The 20,496-nt window shown below is 39.1% G+C and overlaps 1 protein-coding gene across 8 annotated transcripts in view; it reads left to right on the top strand.

Annotated features, from left to right (window-relative positions):
• The window catches only part of CALN1 (calneuron 1), a 724,789-nt gene that overhangs the window by 144,489 nt on the left and 559,804 nt on the right, over positions 1 to 20,496 (top strand). The gene's annotated exons all lie outside the window — the stretch shown is intronic.

Here is a 20,496-nt window from a genome sequence, read left to right as displayed (position 1 = left end):
TGTTCAGCAGGATGGTCTTGAACTCCTGACCTTGTGATCCTCTCGCCTCAGCCTCCCAAAGTGCTGAGATTACAGGCGTGAGCCATCTTTCCCGGCCCCAATCCAGGTCAACTTTCACAAGGTTCCTCCACTTGATTGAGTTTGTATGAGGTTTTCTCATGATTGGAATCAGGTTATTCTTTTTTGTCAGGAATAGTGCATACATGTGTTGTTATCTTCACTGTGTCATACCAGGAGGCACGTGGTGCCTGCATATCCTATACCTCACTATATGTACATGTGACCTAAAAGTAGTACCTTGTCAAGTGAAAAAGAAAGGTAGAGAACAATGTGTACAGTGTGTTAGCATTTGTATAAAGAAGCAGCAGATATATGTAAAATATCTCTGGAAAGAAACGCAAGAAAGTTACAATACTTGCCCTGTAGGAGATCGGAGGATCTGGAAGACGAAACGGGGAGGGAGATGTGTTATTGAATATTGTTTTTCACATTGGAATATTGAACCGTGTGATGGGACTCAGAAATGGATTGAGAACGCGGTCGGGGAGGAGGAAGGTGCCAAGAGTGACTCTGACATGGTCTGGCTTCTAAAATAGAGCGTTATGCTAATTAGCAAAGTAAAATCCACAGATAAAGGGTATGAGATCTAGTGCAGGGTTCCTAGAAAATGGGGAGGAATAGTATCCTACGAAGCACAGCGGAGGGCCTGGCCTTTGGCAGGAAGAGATGCAGGGCCTCTTCATGGGGAAGAAGAAAAAAGGATGCACTGTGATGAGGTGGCAGGTTTGTGGTGTTGGTAGCACCCAATGTAATTTTTTTTTTTTTTTGAGGTAGAGTCTCACCTTGTCAGCCAGGCTGGAGCTGGAGTGCAGTGACACGACCTCACCTCACTGCAACCTCCGCCTCCTGGGTTCAAACGATTCTCCTGCCTCAGCCTACCGAGTAGCTGGGATTACAGGCATTATAGGTGCCCGCCACCATGCCCAGCTAATTTTTGTATTTTTAGTAGAGACGGAGTTTCACCATGTTGGCCACGCTTGTCTCGAACTCCTAACCTCGTGATCTGCTTGCCTCCGCCTCCCAAAGTGCTGGAATTACAGGTGTGAGCCACCGCGCCTGGCCGCCAATGTTATTTTTACATCTATCTTTGTTGACTTTGCCCCGATGGGCTTGAGGGGAATTCACAAATTGCGCTTTTCTTCTCTCTCCGAAGTTGGGGTCAGGTTGACGGGGATCACAGTGCCAGTTCTGGTATGTTGCACCCAGAATTAGGACATGTACCACTTGGCCAGCCACAGGGAGTGATGGCTAAGTACAATGTCAAAGTCAGTGCTCTCTGCGGGAAGGGAGAGCTGAGGAGAGAGAACAAGAGGATTGTATCTAACAGTCCTTTTCCTTTCTCCATTTACTAATCAGAGAAGTGAGCGAGGAAATATAGAGATCCAGAGTGTTACACTAGTGGATATCACTCCACGTGAAAATTTGTGATCCAAGGCTAGGCGTGGTAGTGGCTCACACCTATAATCCTAGCACTTTGGGAGGCCAAGGCTCAAGGGTCACGTGAGGCCAGGCATTTGAGACCAGTGCCTGGGCAACATAGTGAGACACTGTCTCCAGAAAAAGATTAAAAAATTAGTTAGGCATGGTGGTGCACACCTATAACCCCGGCACTTTGGGATGCTGAGGTGGGAGGATCACTTGAGCTCAGGAGTTTGAGGCTGCAGTGAGTTATGATTGCATCATTGCACTCCTGCCTGGGAGACAGTGAGATTCTGCCTCTTAAATACAAAACCCCATCTCTACTAAAAATACAAAAAAATTAGCCAGGCATGGTGGTGTGTGCCAGTAATCCTAGCTACTCAGGAGGCTGATGCAAGAGAATCCCTTGAGCCTGGGAGCTGGGGACTCCATCTAAAAAAAAACACACATATATATAAATATAAATATATATAAATATATAAAAATATATATAAATATATAAAATAAAAGTTTCTTACCCCATGACCATTTTCTTCAGAATTCCTATAAACATGTTTATTTCTTTTTACCTCTGCCAACATTGGGTTGTTATAAATACTTTTAAATTTTGCCTATTGATTAGGCTAAACATGTTATCTCATAATGGGGAGTTTTTTCAACTACTGTTGTCTGGGCCTCGCTTTTGTAGATTCTGATTCCGTTGATTTGACGTGAGTCTCATTTGTGTATTTAAAAGCATTCAAAAACCTCATTCATGATGCTCATGGTAAGATCAAGGCAGCCCTGAGATTTGATTAGGGATGGGTTGGGGGTGGTATCAGCACACACTTTTCTCTACCTTTAATTTTCTTCTTTGATAAGAAATTTGCTTTATTTCCAATCGAATCCCTTTGTTTCACCATAAAAAAGCTGGGACTCATTAACATTGGCAGTACCTGGTCCCACGAGGCCTCTCCGCTGGAGCTGATCTGTGGTGCAGGAGGAACCTTTCTCATTCCGAGTCCAACCACATCGCCAGATCTCAGCTTGGGGTCGGGGGGTTTGTGTTAGCAAGGCTCTTGGGCCCACAGCACTGCGTTGGTTCCGAAGCACAGGAATTGTGGCCAAACTCCAGCATCATATTTCATTTTGGTTCAAGTTGTATTCTATCTGGCAAGTATTCCTTGGCATTCATAGGGAAAGGTTAAGGCTGTCTCTAAGTTTCAGTTTGGTTTTCATTTTAATCATTAGTTCCTTTGTTGGTTTTTGTAGGTTTCAGGGAGGAGGTTTTAAAAAATGTCCAGTTAACACCGTCATGTTTCCTGGAAGTCTCCACTTCTTGCCCTGAATTAAAAACAAAACAAAACAAAACCAAAGCAAAACCAAAGCTTAGAAGTGTTGGTTTTAGAGCAAGACATACGTTGACAAGCACTAATATATTGCTCTAAGCTTTCTCACTGCCCTGAAGCAGCTATGTTTAATCAGATCCGTTTCAACATGCCCAGACTAAATAATATACTCATTTTCCTAATTTACAGTTTTTAGCTAATATATTTTGATTTTCTTCTCTTATGTTGTAATTTGCGTTCTTCTAGTTCTTTGATTATTTACTATGTCAATCAGATTGAGCTAATAATACACAATAATAATTGCTTTTAATTTTGTAGGTTTTGCTTTATATATTTTGAGCCTATATTATTAGGTGTATCCAATTTTTGAAATGTTCCATCTTTCAGGGAGATTGGCACTTATTATACAATTTTAGTCGTCCTTGTTAGTTTTACATTCTTTTATTATTATTTTAGTGATATCCCTAGAGACCGCAGTGTGTATCCTTGACCCACTGGTATATATCCTAAATTAGTACATTTATCACTTTAATACAAGTTGTATCTAAAGTTGCAAGGACCTTAGAACACTTTAACTCTGTTTACCCCATTCCTACATTTTGTGCAATTGTTTTCATGTATTTTACTTCTTCGTGGATTTAAGAAACTACCAAACATTATTAGCATTTATTATTATTAGATTAAAATACAATAGTTATTCAGATTTACCTACATATTTGGTATTTCCAGTGCTCCTTACCCTTTCATCTCTGTTCCTCCATTTGAAACCATATCTTTTTCTGTCTGAATAGCTCACTATAGCAATTCTTTCCTTTTACAAAATTTTAACCACAATCTTTAACTTTTAAATTATCATTTTAAATGAACACAGAATAATTGTGCATATCTATGGGATACAGTGTAATATTTTGATACATGTATACAATGTGTAATGATCAAATCAGAGTAACTAGCAAATCAGTCACCTCAAACATTTATCTTCCTTTTGTACAACCATAATTTTTTTTAAGGCTTCATTTTCTTCTTTCTTTTCAAATCAACTTTATTGAGGATAATTTACATATAATAAAATGCACCCATTTAAAATGTACACTTTGATGAGTTTGACAAAATGTATAAACCTTTGTAACCATCACCATAATTAAGACATAAACATTTCCTTCAACCTAAACTGTGCCCTTGTACTCTGATGGAGTCAACCACTCAGCCCCAGGAATCCACCCATTTAATTTCTGTCACTACAGATTGTTTTTTTCTGTTCTAGAATTTCATAAGAATGAAATAATGGATATGTATTATGAATAATTTTTGCCTGCCTGTGACTTGTCTATTCATTTTACCAAAAATGAATTTTTCAGAAGCATAAGATTTAAAATTTGATGAAATCAAAATGATCAAATTTTTCTTTTATGACTTGGGCTTTCTGTTGTTTTGTTTTGTTTTTGTTCCATTTTGTTTTTGAGACAGTCTCACTCTGTTGCCCAGGCTGGAGTGCAGTGGTGTAATCCCGGCTCACTGCCACCTCTGTCTCCTGGGTTCAAGCAATTCTCCTGTCTCAGCCTCCTGAGTAGCTGGGATTACAGGCGTGCGCCACCACGCCTAGCTAATTTTTGTATTTTTAGTAGAGATGGGTTTTCACCATGTTGGCCAGGCTGGTCTTGAACTCCTGGCCTCAAGTGGTCCGCCCGCTTTGGCCTCCCCAAGTGCTGAGATTATAGGTGTTAGCCACAGCGGCCGGCCAATTTGTGCCTTTTGTATCCTCGTTAAGCAGTTTTTGGCTGAGCACGTTGGCTCACGCCTGTAATCGCAGCACTTTGGGAGACCGAGGTGGGCGGATCACTTGAGCATGGGAGTTTGAGACCAGCCTGGGCAAATGCTGAGAGTCTGTCTCTATAAAAAATACAAAAATTAGCCGGGCATGGTGGCGCAAGCCTGTAGTCCCAGCTATTCCGGGGCTGAGTTGAGAGGATGGCTTGAGCCCGGGAGGTGGAGGATGCAGTGAGCTGTGATTGTGCCACTGCACTCCAGCTTTGGCGACAAAGCGAGACCCTGTCTCAAGGGAAATTAAAAAAAAAAAGAAAAGAAAAAAAAAAAGAAATTTTTGCTTACTCAAGTTCTCAAAAATTTTCTCCTGGGTTTTCTTTAAAAGTTTTGCGGCTTTATCTTTTAGGTCTACGATCCATTCGGAGTTAATCTTTGCCTATAGGGTAAATAAAGTATCAAAGTTCATTTATTTCCACATGAATATCCAGTTATTCCAGCAGAACTGGATGAAAAGACTATCCTCATTAAATTAATTAATTTGAATTAATTTGGCACCTTTGTGAAAAACTAATTGGTCACACGCAAGTGAGTCTATTCCTAATCATTTCTGTTCCTTTGCTCTATACATCTATCCTTGTGCCAAAACCACACTCTCTTGATTAGCTTTATAGTTAAGTCTTGAAATCAGTTGGAAAGAAAGTCTTTCCAACTTCTCTGAAAAAATGGTTTTGGCTATTCTATGTCCTTTGCATACATATATAAATTTTTAAACCAGCTTGTCAAATTTTGCAAAACAGCTTATTAGGATATTGATGATGCTGAACCTGTAGATCAATTTGGAGAGAATTGACATCTTAAAATTATCAAACCTCTAATCCATTAACATGGTATAGGTCTCCATTTATTTTTGGTCTTCTTTAATCTCTCTCAGCAATGTTTTGAGGTTTTTAGTATACAGAACTTACACTTATTTTGTTAAGCTTATCCATAATATTTCATGGTTTTGATATTATTGTGAATGGGACTTTTTCTTGAGATGGAGTCTTGCTCTGTCACCCAGGCTGGAGTGCAGTGGCACAATTTCGTTTCACTGCAACCTCCCCCTCTTGGGTTCAAGTGATTCTCTTGCCTCAGCCTCCCGAGTAGCTGGGATTAGAGGGGCCCACCACCACGCCTGGCTAATTTTTGTATTTTTAGTAGAGATGGGATTTCACCATGTTGGCCAGGCTGGTCTCGAACTTCTGACTTCAGGTGATCCACCCACTTTGGCCTCCCAAAGTGCTGGGATTACAGGTGTGAGCCACTACGCCCGGCCTGAATGGAGCTATTTTTAAAATTTCATTTTTCAGTTGTTTATTGTTGGCATTGACCTTGTATTCTGTGACCTTGTTAAGGTCACTTTCATTCAAATACCCTTATTTTTTAATTTACACAATCATGTTGCTTTTCAATAAAAACAATTTTACTTCTTACTTACCAATCGGGATGCATTTTCTGTCTTTTTATTGACTTATTTCACTGGCTGGAGCCTCCAACAAATGTTCAATAGAAGCCCTTTTCCTGATTTTACAGGGAAAGCATTCAGTTTTTAACCATTTTGTGTGATGTTAGCTGTAGGTTTTTTTGTAGTACCCCTTAGCAGGATGAAAAAGTTCCCTTTTATTCCAAACTTTCTAAGTTTTCATGGAGAATAGGTGTTGAATTTTGCCAAACACTCTTCATGAATGCATTAGGATGATTGTAATTTTTTCTTCTATAAATAGGATAAATTAAATTGATTCATCTTTTAGAATTTAAGATTTAGACTAATTTTGTATGACTTAAAAAAACTCCACCTTGTCAAGATGTCTTATCCTTTTTATATATTGCTGGATTTGGCTTGCTAATATATGTTAAGGCTTTTTTTGCATTTATTTTCATTTTCTGTTTTGGTATTGCCTGTATTTGATTTTGATAACAGAGAGACAGTAGCCTCATAAAATGAGTTGAGCTGTGTTCCCGCTCTCTATTTTATGAAAGCATTTTATGAGATTGGTATTAGCGCTTCATTAAATGTTAGAATTCACCAGAGAAACCATCTGGGCACAGAGGAATTTGTTTATGTTTTGAGGGCATAGGAGGTTAATTATGAATTCAGTTTCTTTAAAAGATATAGGAATATTCAGATTTTTTATATCTCCATGGGTCTATTTTGGTAATTTGTGTTTCTTAAAAGAATTTTTCTCTTTTGTTTAAATTGTCCATTTTTTGTCATAACATTGCTTTATAATATTCCCTTGTTATTCTTTTTTATATCGTTAGGATCTATACTGATTCCTGATCTTGGTACTTGGTGTTTTTGCCATATTTTCAAATCTAGTTAGCTACAGGTTTATTAATTTTATGATGTTTTATTTCATTTTTCTGTCCATTTTTAAATTTGATTTCCCCATCCTTTTTCCTTTCTTCTATTTTCTTTCAACTTAATTTGTTCTTCTCTTTTTAGCTTTTTAAGTTAGAATCTTAAAACATTGGCTTTAAACCTTTCATCTTTTTGTAAAGTAAACATTTTAAGCTATAATTTTCCTTGTAAGCACTGTTTTAGCTGATCTCACCAATTTCAATACCTTGTGCTTTCATTTCATTTAGTTCAAAATATTTTTAAACTTCCTTTGTGATTATTCTTTGACATACGCATTATGCAAAACTGTTTTTTACTTGTAAAATCTTGGGGAATTTTTAAGGTGTCTTCTTATTACTGATTTCTAATTTAATTCCGTTATGGTTATAGAATGTTTTCTGTATGATTTTGATAACTTTAAAATCTCAAAGTTTTTTTTTTTTTTTTTTTTGAGACAGAGTCTCACTCTGTCACCCAGGCTGGAGTGCAATGGCACAATAGTGTCTCACTGCAACCTCTGCCTCCCAGGTTCAAGCGATTCTCCTGCCTCAGCCTCACAAGTAGCTGGGACTACAGGCATGTGCCACCACGCCTGGCTAATTTTGGTACTTTTAGTAGAGTTGGGATAACTTTAAAATCTCAAAGTGGTTTTTTTTGTTTGTTTGTTTGTTTTGAGACGGAGTCTCGCTGTGTCACCCAGGCTGGAGTGCAGTGGTGCAATCCCAGCTCACTGCAACCTCCACCTCCTGGGTTCAAATGATTCTCCTGCCTGACCTCAAGTGATCTGCCTGCCTTGGCTTCCCAAAGTGCTGGGATTACAGGCATGAGCCACCACACCTGGCTTAAAATACCAAAGTACTGAGAATTATTTTGTGGCACAAGATACAGAGTCTATCTTTTATGAACATTCAAAAGGCACTTGAAAAGATTATGTTAATATAGTGCTCTATAAATTTAATATGGCCAAATTTGGTAGTGGTTCACACTCTTTAAATTAAATGCAATTCACAATATATTTAGGTGTAAATGTACCATCTTGCTATTTCTTTTTTGTTTCATCTGTTCTTTGTTCGTTTTTCCCTTTTCATGACTTTTCTGGTATTGATTATTTTTCAAATATTGTATTTATTCTCTATTGGCTTATTTGCTGTATCTCTTTGTGTTCTGGGGTTTAACAATGTGCACCTTCAAATATAACAGTGTGATATCAAATGATACTATACCACTTCATGGATAAATTGACTATCTTTTAATAGTATATTTCCATTTCCTTACTCCCTTTGTGCTGTAGCTGTCGTACATGTTTTACTTATACATGTCTTATAAATCCCATAAATGCATTGGGTAATATTTTTGTCTTAAACAGTAAACTACCTTTTAAAGAAAGTTAAAAATAATGACAAACTTTTTATTTTTATTCACATATTTTCCATTCCCAGGACTTATCATTCCTAAGTTTCTGTTGTCATTTACTTCAGCCTGATGGCTATAAATTCTCGAATAGAGACAGGGTCTTGCTAGGTTGCCAAGGCTGGTCTTGAACTCCTGGGCTCAAGTGATCCTCCTGCCTCAGCCTCCCAAAGGGCTAGGATTACAGGCATGAACCACTGTTCCTGGCCTATAAATTATTTTACTGTTTATCTGAAAAACTCTTTATTTCACCTTTATTTTTTAAAATTAAAAAATTTATTTATTTGTTTATTTTTTTGAGACAGTCTCACTTTGTCACCCAGTGCAATGGCGTGATCTTGGCTCACTGCAACCTCCACCTCCCGGGTTCCAGTGATTCTCCTGCTTCAGCCTCCCGAGTAGCTGGGTTTATAGGTGCCTGCCACCACGCCCAGCTCATTTTTGTGTTTTTAGTAGAGATGGGGTTTCACCATGTTGGTCAGGCTGGTCTTGAACTCCTGACCTCAGGTGATCCACCCACCTTGGCCTCCCAAAGTGCTGGGATTACAGGCGTGAGCCACCTCACCCAGCCATCACCTTTAAATTCAGAGGATATTTTTGCTGATTAGGAAATTCTCAGTATTTTTTTTATTTATTTTTTTTTAACTTTTACTTTTGTTTCAGGGGTACATGTGCAAGTTTGTTATATAGGTAAATTGAGTCTTGCAAGGATTTAGTGTACAGATTATTTCATTACCCAGGTAATAAGCATAGTATCTGGTAGGTAGTTTTCTGATCCTCAACTTCCTCCTGCTCCACCCTCAAATAGGCCCTGGTGTCTGTTGTTCTCTTCCTCGTGTCCATATGTACTCAATGTTTAGCTCCCACTTATAAGTGAAAACATGCAGTATTTGGTTTTCTGTTCTGCATTAAATTGCTTAGGATAATGGCCTCCAGCTCTATCCCTGTTGTGCAAAAGACATGATCTCATTCTTTTTTATGGCTGAGTAGTATTCCATGGTGTGTATGTGCCACGTTTTCTTTATCCAGTCTAGCATTGCTGGGTACTTAGGTTCATTCCATATCTTTACTATTGTGAATAGTGCTGTGATGAACACATGTATGCAAAGGACTTTATGGTAGAACGATTCATATTCCTTTGGGTATATACCCAGTGGATTGCTGGGTGAAGTGCTTGTTCTGTTCTGAGTTCTTTGAGTAATCTCCAAACTGCTTTCCACAGTTGAAGGAGTCCCTTTTCAATAAATATTACTGGCATAACTGGCTAGCCAAAGCAGTAGATTGAAACTGGACCCCTTCCTTTTAACATATGCAAAAATCAATTCTAGCTGGATTGAAGGCTTAAACATAAAACCTAAAGGGTTTATGGGCCTATAAAAACCCTTGAAGGAAACCTAGAAGATACCATTCTGGACGTAGATCCTGACAAAGATTTAATGACAAAGATGCCAAAAGCAATAACAAAAACAAATATTGACAAATGGGACCTAATTCAACTAAAGAGCATCTGCAAAGGAAGAGAAACTAACAAAGTAAACAGACAACCAACAGAATTGGGAGAAAATATTTGTAAAATACGCATCTATCAAAGGGCTAATATCCAGAATCTATAAGGTGCTTAAATTAACAAGCAAAAAGCAGACAACCCCATAACAAAGTGGGCAAAGGACACAAACAGGCAGTTTTCAAAAGAAGACATATACATGACCAATAAGCATTTGAAAATAAGCTCAGCATCACTAATTGTTAGAGACATGCAAGTCAAAACCGTCATGACAATTCTCAGTATTTTTGTTTTTGTTTTCAATTTCAGCACATTAAAAATGTTCCATTGTCTTTTGGCTTGTATTGTTCCTTAAAAGAAGTTAGTATTACATCTTCTCTTTGTTCTCCTGCTATAATGTTTTTTTTCTTCTGGATACTTTAAGATTTTTCTCTATCATTGGTTTTCAGCAATTTGATTATAAGGTACCTTGGTGTGCATTTTTTGTATTTATCTTTCTTGCAGTAAATTCTGTCATGTGGAGCTGTATATTTAGGCTTTTATCAAATTGGGAAATATTAGCCACTATTTATTCAAATACTTTTTTCTGTTTAACCTTCCCAACACACACACACACACACACACACACACACACACACACACAAGCACGCGTGTTTACAGTCTCTCTCTTTTTCTCTCGCTTTAGGTATTAAAATCGAACATATGTTAGGTAGCTTGATATTGTCCCACCTGCCATCAAAGATTTTAAGATTTTTTTAGCCAGCATTCTTTCTCTGCTTCAGTTTCTATTTTTTCAAACTCACTTATTTTTCTACAATACCTAATGTTATGTTAAGCCCTCAAATAGCTTTTTCACATTAAGTATACATTTTTCAGCACTACAATTTTATTTGCTTCTTTTTTTAGTTTGCATGCCTTCCTTTATTGTTCACAATTTCCTTTAAATCCTTGAACATCCTAATAGCTGCTCGAAAGCCCCTTTCTGCAGATTCCATTGCCATTGTTATTTTTCCTTCTGTTTCCATGGACACTGTGGGTGTTATGTTGTTGAGTTTCTGAATTTTGCTTTTGTCCTTTGAAGAGTTTTGAAGTTTCTTTGCTAGGCATTGGATTAGTAACTTGGGAATCACCTTGATCCATTTGATGTTTGCTCTTAAGCTTTGTTAGGTCAAGTCTTAAATAGCTGTTATTCTAGAGCTAGTTTATTCCTGCTACCAGGAAGGGGCAATCCATATGGGCTGTATTGTACCCGCCGGGTGTTCAATGAGTTTTCTCACTCAGGATCATCAGAACTTGCCTATTTTCCAGTTCTTTCTTACGTCTAGAAATTGTTCGACTTAACAACTCTCCACTAACTGTTCTCTGCCTAGCGGCATGGGATTTGTCTCTTTATGCACATCTTAGTTGTCAACTAGGAACTTAAATCGTTATAAAAAATTTCCACCTTTCTATCTGTGTTGCCTTCTCCTCTCCAGTTCTCTGCCCCACAAAATCTAGCTACCTAAGCCTTCATGAACTCTGATCCCTCAATTTAGTGAGACCCCTGTGTTCTGTTTGGCTTCCTTTTCCTCTGCAGCGATACAGAAACGATCTCCAGGTAGAAAGCTGGGCAGTTGCAGGACACACGTAATTTGTACCTCTTCTCACGTGGATCACAGCCCTGTACTATCTGCTGTCCAATTACAGAAAACACTTAATTTGTACATTTGTTTAGTTTCTAATTGTTAATAGTGGGAAGGAAACTAACTTACTATGTTGATGCAAACATAATTGAGGTTTTTGCCGTTAGTTTCTTTTTTTTCTTTGAGACAGAATCTCGCTCTGTTGTCCAGGCTGGAGTGATCTCAGCTCACTGCAACCTTCGCTTCCTAGGTTCAAGCAATTTTCTTGCCTCAGCCTCCCAAGTAGCTGGGATTATGGGCACCTGCTACCATGCCTGGATAATTTTTGCATTTTTAGTAGAGACAGGGTCTCAGCATGTTGGCCAGGCTGGTCTCAAACTCCTGACCTCTCAAGTGATCCACCCTCCTCAGCCTCCCAAAGTGCTGGGATTATAAGCATGAGCCACCTCGCCCTACTGCCATTACTTTCAATGGCAAAAACTGCAATTACTTTTGCACCAACCTAGTAACATAGAAGCAAAAATTGGTCCGTTTTCTTTTTAGTGGGCATGTTCACTGCATTCAGAATTTAGTGGATAGCTATTTTCTTTTAGTGCACCAAAGATGATACCAATGATTGTAAGTTGTACTAGCTTTTATTACGTTTGTTAACAAGTTGTCTGTCCGGCAAATTGTTCTTTGAAAGGTGTATGTGTGTGTGAAGGAGAGGGGGCCTGGCTGCTTTTATTATTTTGTCTTGGCCGGGCTTGGTGGCTCACCCCTGTAACCCCAGCACTTTGGGAGGCCGAGGCTGGCGCATCACCTGAGGTCGGGAGTTGGAGACCAGCCTGACCGACATAGAGAAACCCCGTCTCTACTAAAAATACAAAATTAGCCAGGCATGATGGCACATGCCTGTAATCCCAGCTACTCAGGAGGCTGAGGCAGGAGAATCGCTTGAACCCGGGAGGCAGAGGCTGCAGTGAGCTGAGATCGCTGCAGTGAGCTGAGATCACGGCATTGCACTCCAGCCTGGGCAAAAAGAGGGGAACTCCGTCTCAAAAAAAAGAAAAAAGGAAAAAAAAAAAGAAAAAAAATTGTCTTTGGGTTTTAGAAATGTAATGATGATTGCTTTCATGTGGATTTCATTGCACGTATCCTATTCGGAGTTTATAGGACTTCCTGAATCTGTGGCTTAATGTCTTTATTGGTTTTGGAAAATTCTCAGCCAGCATTGCATCCACCCCATTCTTTCTCCCCTTTCCTTTTCAAACTTCAGTTACATGTTTGACAATTCGCTGTGCTCTAATCCTCTCTTACTCTCTTTTCTCTATTCCCACTTTTCCTTCTCACACATTAGCAGGATATTTTTTACTGACCTCTTTAAAGTTCGCTAATCTCTTCTACTGTGTCCAATTTGCTTTAACCACATCTATTGAGTGCATTTTCTTTATTTTTTGATGGGTTCCAGAATTGCTACTTTATTCTGTGTTAAAAATAAACAAATTTTGGCCGGGCGCTGCAGCTCACACCTGTAATCCCACACTTTGGGAGGCCAAGGCGGGTGGATCACTTGAGGTCAGGAGTTCGAGACCAGCCTGTCCAACATGTGAAGCCCCGTCTCTACTAAAAATACACAAAATTAGCTGGGCTTGGTGGTGGGCACCTGTAACCCCAACTACTCGGGAGGCTGAGGCAGGAGAATCGCTTGAACCTGGGAGGTGGAGGTTGCAGTGAGCCGAGATCGTGCCACTGGACTCCAGCCTGGGTGACAGAGTGAAATTTCGTTTCAAATAAATAAATAATAAATAAATTTTAACTGAATGGAGATCAAATTAAAAATTATATATGGGAGAATCAGGACAGAATGTATGTGTGTGGATTGGAGAAACAAGTAAGAGTATTACATCTTCATCCTTCAGTTAGGTGTTTTAATCAGAAAAGAAAATAAATATTTTTTTAAAAATCACTTACTTAGAAATATGGATATAATTATCCAAAGAGGTAACTGACTAGTTGAAAGTGGTTATCTTTGGGAAAAAGGAATGGAGGAGGAGGAAAGAGAGAACACCATTTTGCGCAATTGACCTTTTGGAACTGTTTGATGTTTATTTTTAAATTCTATTTCTGCATAACAAATTACCATTTGACCTTTAAAAATTATGGATCACTTTAATAAAAAGTAAAAGTTAAATTATTGAATTAGAAAGAAATTAAGAATAAATAGACTTTAGCTATTCACCGGTGAATTTATCTTGTCATTCATTTTCTTAAACATCTATACAATTGTTTTAATGTCTGTTTTATATAAATCCAGTATCTGAATTTCCTATGTTTGATTTTCCTATTGTCTGCTGTTTCTCTTTATTTTTTCTTAATTCGGTTCTTTTTCCGGACATGCCTGTTGATTTTTGCTTAAATGCCACGTTATATTTAAAAAATTATAGTGGCTATACATTTGTTCTCTCTCAGAGAGATTTAACTTTTCATGCGGCAGGCGTTTAGGGTACGTAAAGATCATTTTTGGCTAATCAATTATTGAGATAATTTAAGGCCGAACTTGATTCTCCAAAGGCTTTTGGTTTGCCCTTAATCTTAATGCATGTAGTATTTCAAAAGGTTCAACTGAAACCCTGGGGTGTTTATCAGTGCCCCTCCTCCTAGGGAGGTTATAGACTCCAATTTCCCAAGAATTCTCCTTCCTGCTGCTTGGTTCCTTCCTCCCTTGCTTTTTCTTCCTTTCCTTCCCTTCCCTCCCTCCCTCCCTTTCTTCTTTCCTTCCTCCTTCCCTCCCTTCCTCATTTCCTTCCTCCCTCCCTTCCTCTCTCCCTCTCTCCCTTCCCTTCCCTTCCCTCTCTTTCTTTTGTCTTTTTGTCTTTCTCTCTTTCCCTCCTTCCTTTCTTTCCTTTCTCTTCTTTCTTTCCTTCCTTCCCTTTTCCTTTTTTCTTTCTCCTTCCTTCCTTCCTTCTCTTTCTTTCCTTCCACTTTCTTCTTTCTTTCCTTCTCTTGCTATTTTTTTTTTTAAACCATTCACCATGTGCAGTTTCAAACACAGGTGAATGAATGCCTTTAAGGGGACAATGGAGCACAATGACGCCTCCACTTTCCAAGGTTTCCTTTTCCTTCTATGCCTGTGATGCTCTTAAGATCTGTAAGATGTTCTTTTCTTTTGGCATTGTATAATAGTATCTAATACATATATTATGTAATTTCGTATAACATAATTATATAACATGTATAATTATACATAACATGCATGAATATAACAGTACATACGATATAATATATAACATGTGCCATTATATTGTACATATATAATGTATTATATATCATTATTTTTATAAATATTTATATATAAATATAAATACCACATAAAACAATTCATATATGAATAAATATATGTTCACATATACATTTATATATGATATAAATATATGCTATTTATATATTTATGTGTTATATAAATATATGCTATATATACTTATATTTTTTAATGTATAATATTTAACCTGGATTTCATTTTTTTGGCTGGTTAATATACGTTTTGAAAATTTTTTCGAAAAAGCAAAAAGCCATTTATATTCCATTTATAAAAAGCCATTTATATAATAAGCATATATAAATAAAAATGTAAATAATTATATACATAAATAAAATATATATTTATATAAATAAAAAAATATAAATATATATTTAAATTTATATATACATAAAATACATAAATATATATTTACATATAAATAGAATATATAAATAAATATATATATATATTTATCCCCTCAATACTTGTTCTCCAGAGTTAGTTAACAGAAAGCATTGGAATTATATTCTGTGCACATATGTGTACACGGATCCCATATACAAAGTTTTCTTTTTCAAAAGTGGCACCATACATGTTATTTTGCCATTAACTTTTTTCACTTTACAACATATTTTTTGACATTTTTCTAATTTAGTAAATTTAATTTTTCTGGTTATTTATTGCTGCATAACAAAAATTCATCCCCAAACGAAGTTTCTTAAAACAAAAATTTATGACTGCCTCTTGTGGTTCTGTGGATTGGGAATTCAGATAGCCCATGGTGGGGGTGGCTTGTCTCTCTCCAACAGAATCTGTAGCCTTCTCTGGGAAGACGCTCACAGCAGGGGCTTGAGTAGCTGCAGACAGGCCCGGAACCTCTCTTTTTCTCCCTGTCTCTCTCTTCCTTTCTGAAATCAAGCCACTGCACTCAAGCCTGGATAACAGAGTGAGACTCTGTCTCTAAATAAATACATAAATAAATGAAATTAAAAAATAAAAAAAAATAGACCTTTCTTTATCTTTAGTCTCCTGCAAAGCTGCTGAGTGAGGCAGTGTCTTTAAGACATGTAGAAGCCCTTTTGGGCATCCCCTTAAATATGTCTGAGGCCTTAACAAAGGATATTACAGCCCCATCCTTGAGTCCATCTTTCCCAGAAACCAGATTTTACCGCCCTAGATTTGAAAGGTTTCGCCTGGAGACACCACAATGAGAAACAGTAGTCCTTTCTAACCCAGCAGAGAAACAGTAATCCTTTCTAACTCAGCAAACCCTGGTTCCTTGCTATTCCATCTCAATTCTGCTAAAAAACTGGAATAGCTTCTTCTTCAATTAACCTGTCTCTGCTTACCTTTTCTCATAGGCATCTGGAAAAATCCAGCTGGCATTTTCTGTTTTTCCACTTGGAAATCACCCTAGTCAGATCCATGAGGTCATTAGGTATCCTTGCCATTGGTTATATTGATTTTTTTTTTTTTTGAGACAGAATCTCGCTCTGTCACCCATGCTGGAGTGCAGTGGCTGATCTCAGCTCATTGCAACCTCTGCCTCCTGGGTTCAGGCAATTCTCCTGCCTCAGTCTTCCGAGTAGCTGGGATTACAGGCATGCGCCACCATGCCTGGCTAATTTTTTGTATTTACAGTAGAAACAGAGTTTCACCATGTTGACCAGGCTAGTCTCAAAGTCCTGACCTCAAGTGATCCACCCGCGTCGGCCTGGGATTACAGGCGTGAGCCACCGCACCCAGCTGACCATTGACAGGCAGCAATTTTGCTAACTGTTCTGCTGGGACGTGACTCAGGCGTTCTTTTCTCCAGCTTCCAATAAGCCCTTCCTGTGCCCCTTCATGTTTCCTCCAAGAGTTTTCCAAAGGTCCTTGCAACTCTCATTAATAGTCTTTCGAGGCAGTTATAGCTTTTTCCCATTGCTCAATCCCAAAGCCAGTATTTTAAGTTATTGTTACAGCAGCACTCTCCTTCCAGATACCAAATTTTGTCCTGGTTATCGATTACTGCAAAGCAAACCACTGCAAAGTTTGTGGCAAACCCCTAGCCACACAGGAGAGAATGTGTGTTGTAAAGAATTTAGTGAATCCTGGATTCCATACTTTGATGGAAGACATGAAAAATTTTACCTTCCAACATGTATTTTTTGAATGATTTTTTTTTTCTACTTCTACCTATTTCTATTCAGAGTGCAATGAATCTTTTCATCACCCTCTACCCTTGGGTGTCTTGGGCACTTGAAGTAGATATATTTACTGATGGTAAAATAAAAAAGATAAGGGAAGGGGATATTTACCGGAGGATTATCACTGGTAAGGTAGCACTTGTCTTGGTGTCTGATTTGTGTAACTCTGAATCCCAAAGCTAGAGGCAGGTGGTAGAAGGAAGTTGAAATTGACTCCTCACTGTTTCCTGGAGGGCTGTACTATTCTAGGTTAGAGAGAGAACTTATGCTAAATCCAGCTACAAATGCACGATAAGGAGAAGTCCTTCCTGTTCATTTTGTTCCATGTTGAGTTTAGCCTCCATCCCGGTAATTGGTAAAAGATTTTCTTTGGTATTTTCATAGGAAGGAGCTGACACATTTTGACCACATATATTGAATAAAAGTTGGAGCAAAAGTGCCAGGGCCTGTAAACCTGCAACCACCTTAATATGGAGGTCTCAAAATGGTCATAGCTGGGGAAGACCAAGAAACTGCAGAAGTCTGCCATCCAGCTTCTCTAGTTCTTTGTGTTTCTGATTTTTTTTTTTTTTTTTTGAGACAAAGTCTTGGTCTTTCACCCAAGTTGGAGTGCAGTGGTGTGACCACAGTTCACTGTAATCTCGAACTCCTGGGCTCAAACCATCCTCTGCCTTAGCCTCCTGAGTAGTTAGGACTACAGGCACATGCTACCACACCTGGCTAATTTTGCAAATCATTTTTTGTAGAGATGGGGTCTCCCTATGTTGCCCAGGCTGGCTGGTCTCAAATTCCCAACCTCCAGTAATCCTCCCACCTAGACCTTCCAAAGTATCGGTATTACAAGTGTGAGCCACTGCCTAGCCTTCTCTACTTCTGAGGCTCGCTGAGCTTAGTGTCCTAAGGCAAGAGATCCTTGATTTTTTTTTTCCTCCCAAAGTAAGGTCTTTGATTTGTGTTTGTGTTGACTATTCACTTGTAACAACAGCCAACATTTATTGAAAGCTTACTCTATGCCTGGAGCCAGGTTAACTGAGTGAACTGCTATTTCACATAGTCACATTTAATTTTCTCAAAGCCTTATGGAATAGACACTCTGATTATCCCCATTTTATAGATGAGGGCAATGAGATTCAGAGAGAGTAAACAACTTGCCCAAATTTACGCAGGCAGGAAGGGAGGGCAGAATGAGAGCTTTGGCCAAATGTTTCCCACTCTGGTTATGTGGGAGGCCCCCACATTTTACCAGGAACTTCATGTGTGTATCTCTACACTTACCAAGGCATTTGTTTGTTTGTCTGTTTTTTTGTTTTTTGAGACTGAGTCTCGCTCTGTTGCCCAGACTGGAGTGCAGTAGCACAATCTCGGCTCACTGCAACCTCTGCCTCCCAGGTTCAAGCGATTCTTGTGCCTCAGCCTCCAAAGTAGCTGGGATTACAGGCATCCACCACCATGCCTAGCTAATTTTTGTATTTTTAGTAGAGGCGTGGTTTCACCATGTTGGCCAGGCTGGTGTCGAACCCCTGACCTCAAGTGATCCACCCGCCTCGGCTTCCCAAAGTGCTGGGATTACAGGCTTCAGCCACCGTGCTTGGCCCTACCAAGGCACTTTGGTGACATGGTTGTCATCTAGAAAGTGTCAGAATAATTGCTTACAGAGGCAACAGATTGTTAGATGATGCAGCATTCATCCAAACTAAGGGATCAAAGGGAAAGATCTTATGGAGATCCTGTCAACTCTGTTCATCTGCCTGCGACCCATTGTGGAAACCCCTGTAAATATAATACCTTCTGTATGAATTCGTTTTCACATTGCTGATAAAGACATAGCTGAGACTGGGTAATTTACAAAAGAAAGATTTAATGGACTCATAGTTCCACATGGCTGGGGAGGCCTCACAATCACGGGGGAAGGCCAAAGGCACAGACACATCTCACATGGCAGCAGATGAGAGAGAGAGAGCCAAGTGAAAGGGGTTTCCCCTTATAAAACCATCAGATCTTGTGAGACTTACTCACTACCATGAAAATGGAATGGGAGAAACCGCCCCCATGGTTCAATTATCTCCCACCAGGTCCCTCCCACAACATGTGGGAATTATGGGAATACAGTATGTGATTTGGGAGGGGACACAGCCAAACCATATCACCTTCTATGCGCATCTCTGAACTAGGTACATAAAACTCAACCAGTGGCTCAAGCATGTCACTGGGCTGCTCACCCAGTGCAGTAAGACCAGCTATCCGCATCAAGGTTTTGCAGCAGGAGAAGGGAAGGCATGTATTTGCAGGGCACCAACCAAGAGGAATCAGGCAGCTCATGCTTAAGTCCCAACCACCCAGTTGGCTTACAGGAAAGGATTTTTAAAGGTGGGAGGCAGAGGCTACAGGCAAAGCCATAAATCAATCCATGAAAGCTCTACATTTGGTTTGACTTAAAAAAGCAGACATCTGGGAGCAGAGGCCCACATGGGCTCACATTGGGACTAGTAATCCCAATACTTTGGAAGGTGGGGGTGGGAGGATTACTTGAGGCCAGGAGTTTGAGACCAGCCTGGGCAACATAGGGAGATCCCATCTCTACAAATGTCATAAGTGAGTTCAAAGATTTTCTGATTTGTGATTAGTTAAGGAGGTAAAGCTTTGTCTAAAAATACGGGGTTTGCAGAAAAGAATGTTCACTCTGGCCTGTAGGTGTGGCTTCCTCCAGACCCTTCAGGAAGAAATTTAGAACAAGAACCACAGTTAGAGTTTAGTCCTCAGTTCCCTCTCATCCAAGGTCTATGTGCTAGTCGATCAGTTTAATGGGGGTCCAGGTTTCTGAAAAACAACTGAAGGACACTAAGATGTTATGTTTAGATTCTATAGGGAATGATAGACTATAGGGAATGGTTTGACTGTGTCCCCACCCAAATCTCATCTTGACTTGTAGCTCCCATAATTCCCATGTGTTGTGGGAGGGATCTGTTGGGAGGAAATTGAATCATGGGCACAGGTCTCCCCCATACTGCTCTCATGATAGTGAATAAGTCTCACGAGATCTGATGGTTTTATCAATGGGAGTTCCCCCTGCACAAGCTCTCTTGCTTGCTGCCATGTAAGATGTGCCTTTGCTTCTCCTTTACCTTCTGCCATGACTGTGAGGCCTCCCCAGCCATGTGGAACTGTGAGTCCATTAAACCTCTTTCCTTTGTATATTACCCAGTCTTAGGTATGTCTTTATTAGCAGCATAAGAACAGACTGATACAGGGAACAAAAACATTTCCTGACTCTTAACTTCCTTGGCTATTGTTTTAAGCTAAAATTACCTTCTTGCTTATCAAGTTGCTGGTTTACTTCTCAGGGCTAGCTAGGTACCTGGAGTTTCTTTGAAGGAACTCAGGATTTTTCTGTGTTTTCATGCTGGGGTAGGGGAGGGGTACTCAGCAAGTCCTTAAGAGTGGTACCTGTTACATCTCAGTTATAAGATTGCTAGGGAGCATATGATCCAGCAATCCCACTGCTGAGTATATACCCCAAAGAAAAGAAATTAGTATATCGAA

Source organism: Homo sapiens, chromosome 7, assembly GCF_000001405.40.
Source record: "Homo sapiens chromosome 7, GRCh38.p14 Primary Assembly".
NCBI lineage: Eukaryota > Metazoa > Chordata > Mammalia > Primates > Hominidae > Homo > Homo sapiens.
This window is presented reverse-complemented; position numbering and strand designations above follow the sequence as displayed.